Genomic DNA, 14,532 nt, shown 5'->3' on the forward strand with positions numbered 1-14,532 from the left:
AGCTACTTGGGAGGCTGAGCCTGGAGAATCGCTTGAACGCAGGAGGCAGAAGTTGCAGTGGGCCAAGATCGCACACCGTTGCACTCCAGCCTGGGAAAGAGGAGTGAAATTCCGTCTCAAAAAAAAAAAATATATATAATCCTAACTCTGAGTCTGAGACCTACCCTGACTCTAAGCTTAATTCCACCTCCAACCCAACTCAATTGAAAACAAAAATACAGGAACCACAAATCATAAGTGATTGAAGAAGAGAAAAATATTGCACGTGGTATCTCAGTGAGTAAATAGAAGGAAAGAGAACCAAAGATAGAGTAAAAGGAAATGTCTAAATTCAGCTGCCGGGCTAGGAAAATATGAAAGAGAAAAATTTAAAGAAAACCAATGTGGTCAGCAGTAAGAGGAAACCTAGAGTGGGGGAGGAAGAGGATCAATTGCTTTAAGAACAAGAGACTTGAGATTACCTTTAGAGGTGGGTTCAGCTCAAAATGTGAAACAAGATTTTAAATAGAGTGGTAAAAACAGAATGACATAAATACAAAAATGTGGTAAGACTTTTATTTAACAAATATTTATCAAGTTTATTTTTATTGTTCAGATGTTACAATGAGTAATGGATATATATAGACTCCACCATCATGACCCTCATGGAGATTAGAGCTAGATAGAATATAAAGGTGTGATTATGCAGTATGTTTTTAAAAAGTGGTTGAGGGTGGTGAGACAGAGGGAGAGAACTAAGGCAGTGGTAGACAAGAAGCTTGCACACCAGGGAGGTTGCTTTCTTTTTTATCTTTTATAGGCCAGGCAAAAGTGGAACATGTCTGTAGGTAAGAGGAACAGTGAATGCAAAGTCTCTGAGGGTGGCAGGGTGTGTGGCCTGGAGCTGAGAGGACAAAGGCATTTCCATTGACAGAGATCCTGCTATGTGGCAGGCAGTGTGCCAAATACCATTTGGTTTTATGAAAGTTCTAGAACAGCCCCTGCAGTTCAATAAGTACACAAACTAGATAGGGACATATTTATCTGAAAGAAAAATGGATCATATTGATCTACTCATCCCTATGAAGACTGAAAAGAGGATAGTCTATTGTGGAAAAATTATTTTAAAAATTAATGTTAGTTTAAAATGTATTGTCTTAACCTAAAGAAAGCATCTACATTCATTTAAAGTATTTATCAAATGATTGAAAAAAAATTTCTTGGAACAGAAAAAAAAAACGCATTATTGACATTCTGGTTTTATGGGTCCAAGCTGTTAAAATATGTATACCAGGGTCTTAAGGATAGAATGAGCCCTAGAATAATAATAACCTCCTTTGGATTAAGATAATTAATAACCATGATGTCTATTTGTTTGTCTGCTTTTGTACCCCTTCTTCCTACTGGATGCCAGCTCTCATATTTATCACTGATAGAACACAAATGGTAAAATTATAGGCTAGAATTTTTTTCTTGTTGTTTGCTTCTTTTCACATTATATGGATTTCCGTTTTAATTTATTTTCTTTTTTCTTTGTTTGTTTGGTTTTTTGTTTTTTGAGACCAAGCCTCATCCTATTTCCCAGGCTGGAGTGCAGTGGTGTGATCTCGTTTCACTGCAACCTCCGCCTCCCGGGTTCAAGCGATTCTCCTGCCTCAGCCTCCTGAGTGGCTGAGATTACAGGCTCATGCCCAGCTAATTTTTGTATTTTTAGTAGAGACAGAGTTTCACCATGTTGTCCAGGCTGGTCTTGAATTCCTGACCTCAGGAGATCCACCTGCCTCGGCCTCCCAAAGTGCTGGGACTATAGGCATGAGTGTTTTTCCTTACCCTTTCATTTTCTTGAACACATTTTAAAATTTTTAAAAATTTACAATTACAATGAACTGATGTTTAGGTGCTCAACAATTTTGTACAGTTGTCTTATTTAATAAAATCGATAGAAAACTTTTAGTGAAGAATAAAGTATTATACTAATGCATCATAATTTCTATTAATCTGACACTTAGAGATTGTGAATCCAATTCACAATCCAAGTGTACATTGCTGACACTTGGAGATTGTGAATCCATCTCTTAGCAGGGGGTAACCATAAAATTCCCCTCCTAATTTAAAAACTATCATTATAAAAAATCAGCATTCAGTGAGATAGGTCTACAAACATAAACTGCTTCTCAGTATCCTACAGGCCTGATTTTCTTCATCAGCCTTGTCAGGGTTGTGTTACATCGCTTCATCTGACTACATGAATGGCTAAAGAAAAAATAATTATATGTAATTTGCTGGATTTTGGAGCCATGGCGCCTTATAAATATTTAAAAGATATCGTATTTAGCAATCTGAACAGAGATGTATACTGATAATGCTTGAGACCTTGGCAACTCAATTAACCTCTGGGCATTGGATTTGGAATGGAGGGATTATTATTCATTGGCAATTGTATAACCACTGTAATTAAAAAGCACTTGCCAACCTTTTAATTATTAATCCTGTGGTTCATCCTCTTGTATAAAGGCTAACATGCCCATTTTACCAGTTAGTGGATTGGGGAAAATGAAGGGAAAATGATAGATGCAGGCGCGGTCGATGGCAATGTTAAGACTTTAGAATGCAGGACTTTTTCCACCTGCCAGTTCGTTATTCATTCTGATTAGAATCATTTATTCTATCTTAATTAATTCTGTATTTTGAGGGTTAAAGTACTTAGCGTTTGATATATTGAATTAATTCTTTACTTAAATCTCATGTTGCATTCCAAATACGTTCAATTTTGTAACATAAAAAGAGCTGTAGCATTTGGACCTTTCTTAATGACAACAAAAACGAAAAAAGTGTAGTTTTGGCAACTTTTGGATCATAACATGCTATTTCCTGAATAAATAGTGATAAATCACTTCTTACACTTCCTTGTTAAAAAAAGAAAAAGAAAGAGACTCAAATGTCCATCCTATGACATCTGGGCACAAAAAAACAAAAAACAAACAAAAAAAACGCTAATGACACTCAATGCAAAATATTCAGCCTCCTTCTGAATGAGAACTAATCTTTATGCATACTATTTGAATGTGTACCCTGGGGGAAAGGCATAATGTTACTTGGCTGTCTATCAAAGATATCACAGACAACTCTCAAAGGTTAGAGCAGATGCTTTTAATCAGATGCTGTTTTCATTTTTTATCTGAGTTTTCTTAAACTAAACTTGGCTAGGAATTCAAAATTCTGTGAAACATACATATGCACTCATATTTTTGCACTTGTGTGCAGCCAGACACATAAACATCGCCCTGTCTGTATGGTTCTTTATGGTACAGTGTTATAGCAGCCACTCCAGGGTGTAATGTGGTCATTCTGGTTCCCCCAGTTATTAAAAGTGTTTTGAACAGATTCAGTAATAAACCAGTGTTATAGTCACTTTTGTGCTTGAGTCAACCTTCATGCATATAGATTTCCACTTAATGGCAATTGTATTGGATTTATATGTTCTTACAGTGACCTCAGATACAGAAATAATGAGTGATCTTATTAATTTGGGACCTGTCTAATGTGGGTTTTGAAAAATAATGATTTGATAACTTAAAAACTCCTTTAGATCAGTAATTATGTCAAAGTATAGAATGAAGAGTGAACCTGTATTTAAAGAAGTGACAAAAAATTTTTCATATTTAAGTCTTTAAATGTATCTCCCAATAGTAGGCATTTATGACTGTACTGAAAAGTTTAATGTTTTCTCAAAGAAGTAAATAGCATAAGAAAATAGTTTTAAAAAGGAGCTTTATTATAGTATTAACTAATTGTTTGTTTATAAGCCTTATCTGCTTCAACATAATCATGCTACCAAGAACTTTATTCAATTGAGATGAAGAGTTATCAATAGCTGATAATTATCCAAGATAAGAGGTATGTCTTTCATATGACTCTATGCTTTAATTATAACATTAGTCAAATGTCCACATGGTATTTCCACAGTTAACTTGTAAAATGAGAATAGCCTTGATTCAAAATAACTAATTAAATACAGAATGTGATTCAATAAAAGTCACTGATTGGGTAATTAAGAGAAGAATTAGAAGACTTGAATGAAAATATATAATACTTGTAATCCTAATTAGTACTATGCTATTTGCTTCCCCTTCCATTACTAGACATTTACCAACCAAGTATTTAACCTTGAAAGAATCAAAGAAGCTTTTCTGAGCTCATACTAGTTCCCAAATAGAAGCTAGGCTATTTAAGATTTCTAAAGATTGAAGATAAAATACTTGCTAGCATGTCCTTGAAATGGAATTATGGACAAAAAGTGTTAGTTGCTATTATATAATGAAAACACAAATATAAGGAGTAAATCCACCTTAAGCAAAATGTCTAAATGCTTAGCTGTATTTATCAAGTGCTTTTCAATATTTTTTCTTCCTCCTTTTCTGCCCTCTTTGCTATTGATAGAGGTTGTTGTTAAAGGTATAGTTGTTTTCTTCTTCAGTTTTATTTTTAGAATTAAAATGCTCTAAGTAACCTTTTTTGGTGGCCATTATTTGACATTTTAAAATATGTACCTTTCTATATGTATAATATCATTCAGTGTTTTATTCTTCTCTTTAATAATGTAGAGCATTAGCATATTTACCAAGACATAAAAATTACAAAAGAATAAAATTAGAGATCTATATTTATAATGAATATAGACACAAAAATTAATTAGAAAAGTAAATCCAATAATTTTTATATAAAGACAATACCTTATGAATAAGTGGTATTTATCCCAGGAAAGTAAGTTTGGTTCAATATTTTAAAAAATCAGTAATGCAAATCATCATGATTATGGCAACAGATATAAAAAAATCATTTGACTAAATCTGACATTCATAAAATGACAAAGTGTTCTTAACAAAAATGGACTGGAAGGCAACTACCTCAAATTCATAATGGTCAACTATAAAAACTCACAGCTGATGGATGCAGCACTTAATGTTAAACAATAGAATATTATTGATTTTTGAATGAGAAAAAGATATGTTTTTACATTTTATTTAATATTACATTGGAGATTCTAGCCAATGCAGTAAGAAAAGAATAAACAGAAGCATAAAGATTGGAATAGAAGAAGTAGGCCTGTCTGTGTTCATAGATGACATAATAATTTATTTAGGAAATCCTAATCAATCTTAAAAACAAAACTACTGAAAGTAGTCAGGCTGGGCGCGGTGGCTCAAGCCTGTAATCTCAGTGCTTTGGGAGGCTGAAGTGGGAAGATCACTTGAGACCAGCCTTGGCAACATAATAAGACCTTTCCTCTACCAAACAAAGCAAAACAAAACAAAACAGAACCTGCAGGGTGGCAGGCTCCTGTGGTCCCAGCTCAAGTGGTCCCAGCTCAAGAGGCTGAGGTAGGAAGCTCATTTGCTCCCAGGAGTTCAAGGTTGCAGTGAGGTATGATCTTACCACCACACTCCAGTCTGAGTGACAGAGTCTATCTAAAAAAAAAAAAAAAAAAAAAAGTATAAATTTAACAAGGCAACAGGTTATAAGATTAATACAAAAAATTCTATATGCTAGCATCAAATATTCGGAAAATGTAATTTGTAAAAGGAATACCATTTAAAATAGGACCAAAGACTTGAAATACTAACAGTTAATTATAATAAAAATTATACTGACATTCTTTACTGTAATTAAAAATACTCTGTAAGAAACTAAATAATAGCTAACACAATGGAGAGATACATAAGGCTTATTAATTGTAAAATATGTTAACTTGTTCACTATCTTCAAATTGAGTAGGTTTTTAAATTTACAAGGTGATTCAAAGTTTACTTGTACTGCAAAAGGCCTAAAATAATCCAAACTGGGTTTGAAAAAAATTGGAGGAAATACAAGAATTTCAAAAATTACTATAAACTTATAATAAAGATAGTCTTGTATAGCTGTAAATATAAATATATAGATGAAGAGTCCAAAATTGAGTCCACAAATAGACTCACATATATATGGAGAATTAAATTTTAATAAAGCCACCAATATGATTAAATGCAGAAGAGAATAGTCTTTTCAACAAATGGTGTTAGAAAATGATATCCATATGGAGAAAATGAACACTGCTGCTTCACATTCTACACAAAAATGGATCATGTACCTAAATGTAGGCACCACTAGTTTTAAACCTCTAGAAGAATATAAAGGAGAAAATATTCAGCCTTGGGATAATCAGCCATTTATTAGGACAAAAAAGTATTAGCCATAAAAATGATAAAAGCATAACACAGAGAAATCAAAATCTTCTATTCTTCAAATGACACACTAAGAAAATGAAAATCAAACCACATGCTGGGAAAATTCATTCACAATACACAAATACAGTAAAAGCCTTGTATACAGAAACACAATGACCCGTTTTCCTTGAAAAGGAATCCTTGTACTAGTCATACTATTGTCTTTGCGTCTGCTTCTCAGAAGATCTAAATGAATACATTCTTCTTCTATTTCTTATCACATATATTATTCTCAGAAGATCCACCCATTTCTGTTATTATTCAGAGGTGCCATCCAAACATAATAACAAAATGTTTTACCTACTGAATTCAGTGCTATTTGCTGTATCATTCCAATGTTCCCCCCGACAGTTTCTCATCTGCCTGTTTTACTTTTTGAAACATTGGGATCCAGGCTTCAGGTTGATGTATCTAAAGTACATATACACATGCACGGAAAGTCCAAGATAAAAGAAATATTATCAATAGGAAATGAAAATTCCAAACCTTTAATATTAGGTAATTCCATATAAGCCTTTATAATAAAATATTTATCTCATTGTTTTCCAAAATAATTTTTATTTACATTATTTTTTACATTTCAGTACATGGTAAAGTTTAGAAGATTTGATATTTGAGAAAGGGTAAACAGTCTTTAGCTCCTGCATATTAATAATTTATTTAACCACTGACACTAAATATGATGTGCCAAATAAGAAAACAATTAGCAATAATATTAACATTCCCACTGTTTTCTCATGGTTAAAAATAAAAAGTTGTGCTTTATTTCTAATTTGTGATGGAAAGGTATGTCCATGACTTCACATATGATTGTACCTGCATAACACATTTGGCTGGCACGGCAAGTGGGAGCTGAAATCCTTTTTTTCACCATGTTTCACTATGTCAAATTTAACTTTTGACAATTTAATTGGAAGAAATCCATGTACTTTCTTAAATATGTCTTGAATATTCAGGGAACATTATTTGTAATAGAGCAGAGTTGGAAACATTTGTCTATCAGTACAATATTTCTGCAATCAATTACAGTATACTCACATGATGGAAAACAATGTACCTGATAAAAGTAAACAAGATAGATGTATAATATACCACGGTAGAAACATAACTTCGATAGGGTCTTTCTTCTAAAACATTGTAATATCATATATATTACATATCATTTTATAAACATAGATTATTTTTATATGTAGATGCATATAACAACCTAGAAGGATATATGGAAATCTCTTTTTTAATCTTTTACTTTAGGTTTGGTGGGTACATGTGGAGGCTTGTTACATAGGTAAACACGTGTCACAGGGGTTTGCTGTAAATATTTGATTTCATCACCCAGGTATTAAACCCAGTGCCCAATAGTTATCTTTTCTATTCTTCTCCCTCTTCCAAACTTCTGTCCTCGAGAAGAACCCAGTGTCTGTTGTTTCCTTCCTTGTGTTCATAAGTTCTTATCATTAGGCTCCCATTTCTAAGTAGGAACATGTGGTATTTGGTTTTCTGTTCTTGTGTTAGTTTGCTAAGGATGATGACCTCCACCTAGTCCATGTTCCTGCAAAAGACATGATCTTGTTCTTTTTCAATGGCTGCATTATATTTCATGGTGTATATTTAGCACATTTTCTTTATCCAATTTGTCATTGATGGGAATTTAGGTTGATTTCATATCTTTGCTATCATGAATAGTGCTACAATGAACATCACGTGCATGTGTCTTTATGGTAGAATGATTTATATACCTCTGGGTATATACCTGGTAATGGGATTGCTGGGTCGAATGGCAGTTCTGTTTTTTAGCTCTTTGAGGAATCATCATGCTGCTTTCCACAATGGTTGAACTAGTTTACACCCACCAACAGTGTATAAGTGTTTCCTTTTCTTCACAACCTCATCAGCATCTGTTATTTTATTTACTTTTTCATTGTAGCCATTCTGACTGGCGTGAGGTGGTATCTCATTGTGGTTTTGATTTGCAGTTCTCTAATGATCAGTGATAGTGACTTTTTTTTTTCATATGCTCGTTGGCTGCATGAATGTCTTCATTTGAGGAGTGTCTGTTCATGTCCTTTGCCCACTTTTTAATGGAGTCGTTTGTTTTTCTCTCATAAATTTTAAGTTTCTTATAGATACTGGGTATTAGACCTTCATCAGATGCATAGTTTGCAAATATTTTCTCCCATTCTGTAGGTTGTCTGTTTACTCTGTTGATAGTTTCTTTTGCTGCAGAAACGCTCTTAAGTTTAATTAGATCCCACTTGTCAATTTTTTCTTTTCTTGCAATTGCTTTTAGTGTCTTTGTTGTGAAATATATGCCCATTCCTATATCCAAGATGGCATTGCCTAGGTTGTTGTTTAGGTGTTTATAGTTTTGGATTTTACATTTAAGTCTTTAATCCATCTTGAGTTGATTTTTGTGTATGGTGTAAGGAAGGGGTCCAGCTTCAATCTTTTCCATATGGCTAGCCAGTTATCCCAGCACCATTTATTGAAGAGGGAGCCTTCCTCATTGCTTGTTTTGTCATCTTTGTGAAAGATCAGATGGTCGTAGATGTGTGGGCTTACTTCTGATATCTCTATTCTGTTCCATTGGTCTATGTGCCTGTTTGTGTACCATTACCATGCTGTTTTCATTCCTTTAGCCTTGTAGTATAGTTTAAAGTTGGGCAACGTGAGGCCTCCAGCCTTATTCTTTTTGTTTAGGATTGCCTTGGCTATGCGGGCTCATTTTGGTTCCGTATGAATTTTAAAATACTTTTTTCTGGTTCTGTGAATAATAATCTTGGTAATTTGACAGCATAGCATTGAATTTGTAAATTGCTTTGGGCTGTATAGCCATATTAATGATATTGATTCTTCCTATCCATGAGCATGGGAGGTTTTTTAATTTGTTTGTGTCTTCTCTGATTTCCTTGAGCAGTGTTTTGTAATTCTCATTGTAGAGATCTTTCACCATCCTGGTTAGCTGTATTCCTCAGTATTTTCTTCTTTTTGTGGCAATTGTGAGTGGGATTGCCCTTCTGATTTGCCTGTCTGCTTAGCTGTTGTTGGTACCCAGAAATGCTAATAATTTTTGTGCATTGATTATGTATCTTACAACTTTGCTGAAGTTGTTTATCTGCTGGAAGTGCTTTTGGTCTGAGACTATGTGCTTTTCTAGATATAGAATCATGTCACCTGCAAACAGAGATAGTTTGACTTCTTGTCTTCCTATTTGGATGTGCTTTATTTCTTTCTCTTGCCTGATTGCTCTGGCTAGGACTTCCAATCCTATGTGGAATACAAATATTGAGAGAGGGCATCCTTGTCTTGTGTCAGTTTTCAAGGGGAATGCTTCCAGCTTTTGCCCATTCAGTATAATGTTGGCTGTGGTTTTGTCATAGATAGCTCTTATTATTTTGAGGTATGTTCCTTCAATACCTAGTTTATTGAGAGTTTTTAACATGAAGTGGTGTTAAATTTTATTGAAAGCCTTTTATGCAATAATTTAGATAATCATGTGTTTTGTTTTTTGTCTTTAATTTTGTTTATGTGATGAATCACATGTATTGACTTATCTATGTTGAAATAACCTTGCATCCCGGGCATGAAACCTACTTGATCATGGTAGATTCGCTTTTTGATGTGCTGCTGGTCTCAGTTTTGTATTAGTCAGGATTCTCTAGAGGGACAGAACTGAATAGGATGTATGTATATTTGAAAGGGAGTTTATTAAGGATAATTGACTCACATGATCACAAGGTGAAGTCCCATGATAGGCCATCTGCAAGTAGAGGAGCAAGGAAGCCAGTAGTGGCTCAGTCCAAGTCCCAAAAACTCAGAAGTAGGGAAGCCAACAGTGCAGTCTTCAGTCTGTGGCCAAAGGTCCAAGAGCCCCTTGCAAACCACTGGTATAAGTCCAAGAGTCCCAAAACCAAAGAACTTGGGGTCTGATGTTCAAGGGTAGGAAGCATCCGTCATGGGAGAAAGATGAAGGCCAGAAGACTCAGCAAGTCAGCTTCTTCCACCGTCTTCTGCCTGCTTTTTCTAGTTGCACTGTCAGCCAATTGGATGGTTCCCACCCACAATGTGGGTACGTCTTCCTCTCCCAGTCCACTGACTCGAATATTAATCTCTTCTGGTAACACTCAGAAACACCCAGAAACAATACTTCGCATCCTTCAATGATCAAGTTGACACTTCATGTTAAGTTTATCACAAATTTGCAAGTATTTTTGCTGAGGATTTTTGCATCATAGTTCATCAATGATATTGGCCTGAAGTTTTCTTTTTTGTGTGTGTTTCTGCCAGGTTTTGGTATCAAGATGCTGGCCTCATAGAATGAGTTGGGGAGGAGTTCTCCCTCCTCAATATTTTGGAATAGTTTCTGTGGAATGGTACCGGCTCTTCTTTGTACACCTGGTGGAATTCGGCTGTGAATCTACCAGGTCCTGGGCTTTTTTTTTTTGGTTGGCAGGCTATTTATTACTGATTCAATTTTGGAGCTCATTATTGGTCTGTTTGGGGAATCATTATTCCTGGCTCAGTCTTGGGAGGCTGTATGTGTTCAGCAATGTATCCATCTCTTCTAGGTTTTCTAGTTTGTGTTCACGGAAGTGATCCCAGTAGTTTCTGATGGTTGTTTTTATTTCTGTGAGATCAGTAGTAACATTCCCTTTGTCATTTCTCATCATATTTATTTGGTTGTTCTCTCTTTCCATTAGTCTAGCTAGTAGCAAACATTATGAAAATGAATTTAGACAAGATACTAACTTTCAATGTGAATACTTCTATATATTCAAAGTTTTAAACAAATATGAGTTTACTTATAATCAAATATATGTTTTGTAAATTGCTGTGTGGAAATCAGAGGCTGCTCATTTCTCATTCAAACTAACTTAAAGATACTATGTTAAATGTTCTACAATCATAACTTTAAAGTTGTTTTCTCTAAGAGTTTGAAAAAGAACCAGTATTTTTGAGGTTGTGTCAATAGAGTCATGATTAATAACAAGCATAATAAAAATTTTTATTAAAAATAAGCAATTAAATATTCTTCTTTTACTATATTAATGCTCCTGAGAATTATAACTTTCTAAACAATTTAAATGAAACATGAGCTTTTAAGCTTATAGTAGGTGCTCAAATGTTTAGGAAAAATGAATGCCAAAAATAGCTATATTGTTTATTCAGTGGAAGGAAAAAAGACTAAACATAATTTTTACACATTGTCTGTTTATACATTACTTTGCTAAAAACTTACAAATAGATGGACTCATTTATTTTAGAGATCTGTGTGTGAAATGTATTGAAATGGATTATAACATTTCCCAATGGGACACATCTACCAGCAAAGCATTTCAGGAGTGATTTTATGTATATGTGACGAATTAGGCAACTTATGCTTGAAAATATCAGAAATATTAAACAGGCACATCTAGGGGCATTTAATTCTTACCAATTTTGTTTTTTCCTGTCTCTTAAGAAATAAGAGCAGGGTGTGGTGGCTCACGCCTGTAATCCTAGCACTTTGGGAGGCCGAGGCGGGCAGGTCACCTGAGGTCAGGAGTTCAAGACCAGCCTGGCTAAAATGATGAAACCCCATCTCTACTAAAATACAAAAATAAGGCGATCCTAATGGCAGGTGCCTGTAATCCCAGCGACTCAGGAGGCTGAGATAGGAGAATTGCTCAAACCCGGGAGATGGCGGTTGCAGTGAGCCTAGATTGTGCCACTGTACTCCAGCCTGGGTGACTGAGCAAGGCTCCGTCTAAAAAAAAATAAATAAATAAATTAAATAAATAAATTAAAAAATGATATAGCTACATGAGCTCAGTCATCAATGATAGGCTAGAAAGAGTAAATTACAAATAACAAAAATTACTATATTTAACAATTATTGTAAACTTTGACATCCATCTTCTTATAATATTTGCAATAAAATATATTTTCAATGAGATAGTGACATGGATGTATTTTTGGTTATAAATCATATGATTTATTATTTCAAAAAAACTATCCTTAATCATTAACAGTAATGTCTTTACATTGAGAAACTATGCAAATCTCAGAATATTTGTCTCCTAACATGTTTTATGAGCATAACAAATTCAAAAAACACAGAACTATAACTCTTTTGTTTTACAACTTGATACATCACATATTGCTATTCTCCAAAGATTTCCTTCCTAATTATGTTTTCTTCTACATAATATTAAAGTTCATTGACATTCTCATAATACACAACAGGATGTCTGCATGAAAATTGCCTGCAAGCAATGTTGGCTGATGGGAGAATGCTAGCTTATATTAAAAGGTAACTATTATGGTTTTATCAATAGAAAGAAAAAGAGTTAATTACATTGGTACTTATCTCTTTCCCTTTTGGGCCAGTTAAATTATTGAATTTTTTTTTTTTTTTTTTTTTTTTGGTAAATTGAATTCTTCATGGGAAGGTACGTCATCCACCTGTATGAAAACAGATATCACAAGAAAAAAGTATATATAGACCACCCCCCAAAAAACAAACTTAATAAAACTATGTATTTCAAATAGAATTATTTTTTTCTGGTTGAAAAAGAAAGTTGGAAACAAAATCTGTGACAAAACCCAGGCTTTGCCTGTACTTTAACGTAAACCAATGCTGCACTTTATGCTTACTATTTTGTTGTCTTGTAAGGAGAATTTCTAGAGGGTGGTTGGGTTCCATGCAACTTAATTGTAAGTGTCAGCTGAAAGACCTACAAAGACATTGTCAGTTATTGAGTTTCTTATCAAGCCAATAATGTGGTACGGCTGTTGTACTAATAATGAAGTTTTAATTAGTTCTCAAAAATACTGAGAGCTTATTTAAGGCCTCCAAATTGGATAGTGCATGCTTAGCTTGAAGGCATCAATGCATCCCAAACATATCAAAATAACTGTCAAACACATTGTATACACATTAGGAGATAATAGCTAGAAGGCTTAACATCTATCTTAGAAATACTGTATGCACAAATTGTTCAAGGAAGTTCTTTCTACACTTAAATGATTGTCTTCAGAATATTGTATTTTATAATTTAAGCAAATTGTCATGCAAATGGTTCAGTGTTATCTGTTTATCTGAGGGTCAGTATAGTTGAGAAAATTCATTTTAGCCAATGTTTATCGTTATTCCAAATGGGAGCATTCTCTATTCATAACTATCCCAACATAGCACCTGCATTTTTACTTATAAATACTTATTGCTTGTTTCCAATATTTTACTGCATGAGAAATTGTGCCAGATCCCTCTTCCCTAATCCATGGGTAGTTCAAAGATACTAACATTTAAGAAACAGTTGATTTAAACTTCTACCATTGGAGAATTGTTGATGTCTTTTCAATGCATTGGGTGGATTTAGACCACTGCATTCTTATATGCCTGTCTATTAATGCTATACAAGATGTCTGGTTTAAACTAACATTACTGGAAGTAACCCTTTCTACCCCATCCCATCTCCACCCACACGTCTACAAAAAGAATTTTATGCAAGACAGATTTTGAAGCACATAGAGGAGGAGCTAACATGAGTTGCTGCTAGAAAAATAATAGCTGTGTTATTTGTACTGACAGTTTGTATTTCTTCTCAAATCATTTATTTTCACAAAATTGGTCTGGCTCTTATTTTTTCAAAGGACGTAAGCTACTTCATTGTTGTTGTTATGGATTTCTGATATAATGACATTAATTACTTGCTGTGTGCCAGGGACTTTTTTAGGCTTAGAGGGTGAAAGTGTAGAACTGGAAGTGCATGCGATTCAGAGGCTGCACAGTGACCCTCTGTGGGTAAGAAGTGGGCTCCTAGAGTATTTGAATTATGAATGCAAGTGGGTCAAGGGAATGAGGAATGGGGTGTATGAGAAGAATAATAAGCATGGAGAATAGGACATATGGCTTGTTTCGGGGAACTACAAGATGTTTCCTATTTCTGTATCACAATTACATGAGGATAAAGGGAGAGGCCCAAGGATATAATGATTACAATTTGAGGGGGAAGTGTTTACTACATTCAGAGAGCCTGGGTCATATTCTGTTAGTACATCATGTTTTTCGTCAAATTTTGAGTGACTATTATGTGGAGGTGGAGGATCTTCTTTTGATATTGATTTAAAAATATTATTTACAAAGATATTATATATTTTCTTCCAAGAAAATATAGCTTATATTATACCTACAAGAGTTCATGATTTGTAGGGGGCACCAAATTAAGTCGGAAATGCTAAAATGTCACACATTTCAGGAGAAATAAATCAGAAAGAGGTGGGTTTATTGGTGAAGGATCAATTTGATGCA

General features: G+C 34.2%; 1 protein-coding gene across 2 annotated transcripts in view; it reads left to right on the forward strand.

Moving 5' to 3' along the window:
• The window catches only part of CNTNAP2 (contactin associated protein 2), a 2,304,198-nt gene that overhangs the window by 742,741 nt on the left and 1,546,925 nt on the right, over nucleotides 1-14,532 (forward strand). The gene's annotated exons all lie outside the window — the stretch shown is intronic.

The sequence above is a fragment of the Homo sapiens genome, chromosome 7 (genome assembly GCF_000001405.40).
Source record: "Homo sapiens chromosome 7, GRCh38.p14 Primary Assembly".
In the NCBI taxonomy this organism is placed as follows: domain Eukaryota; kingdom Metazoa; phylum Chordata; class Mammalia; order Primates; family Hominidae; genus Homo; species Homo sapiens.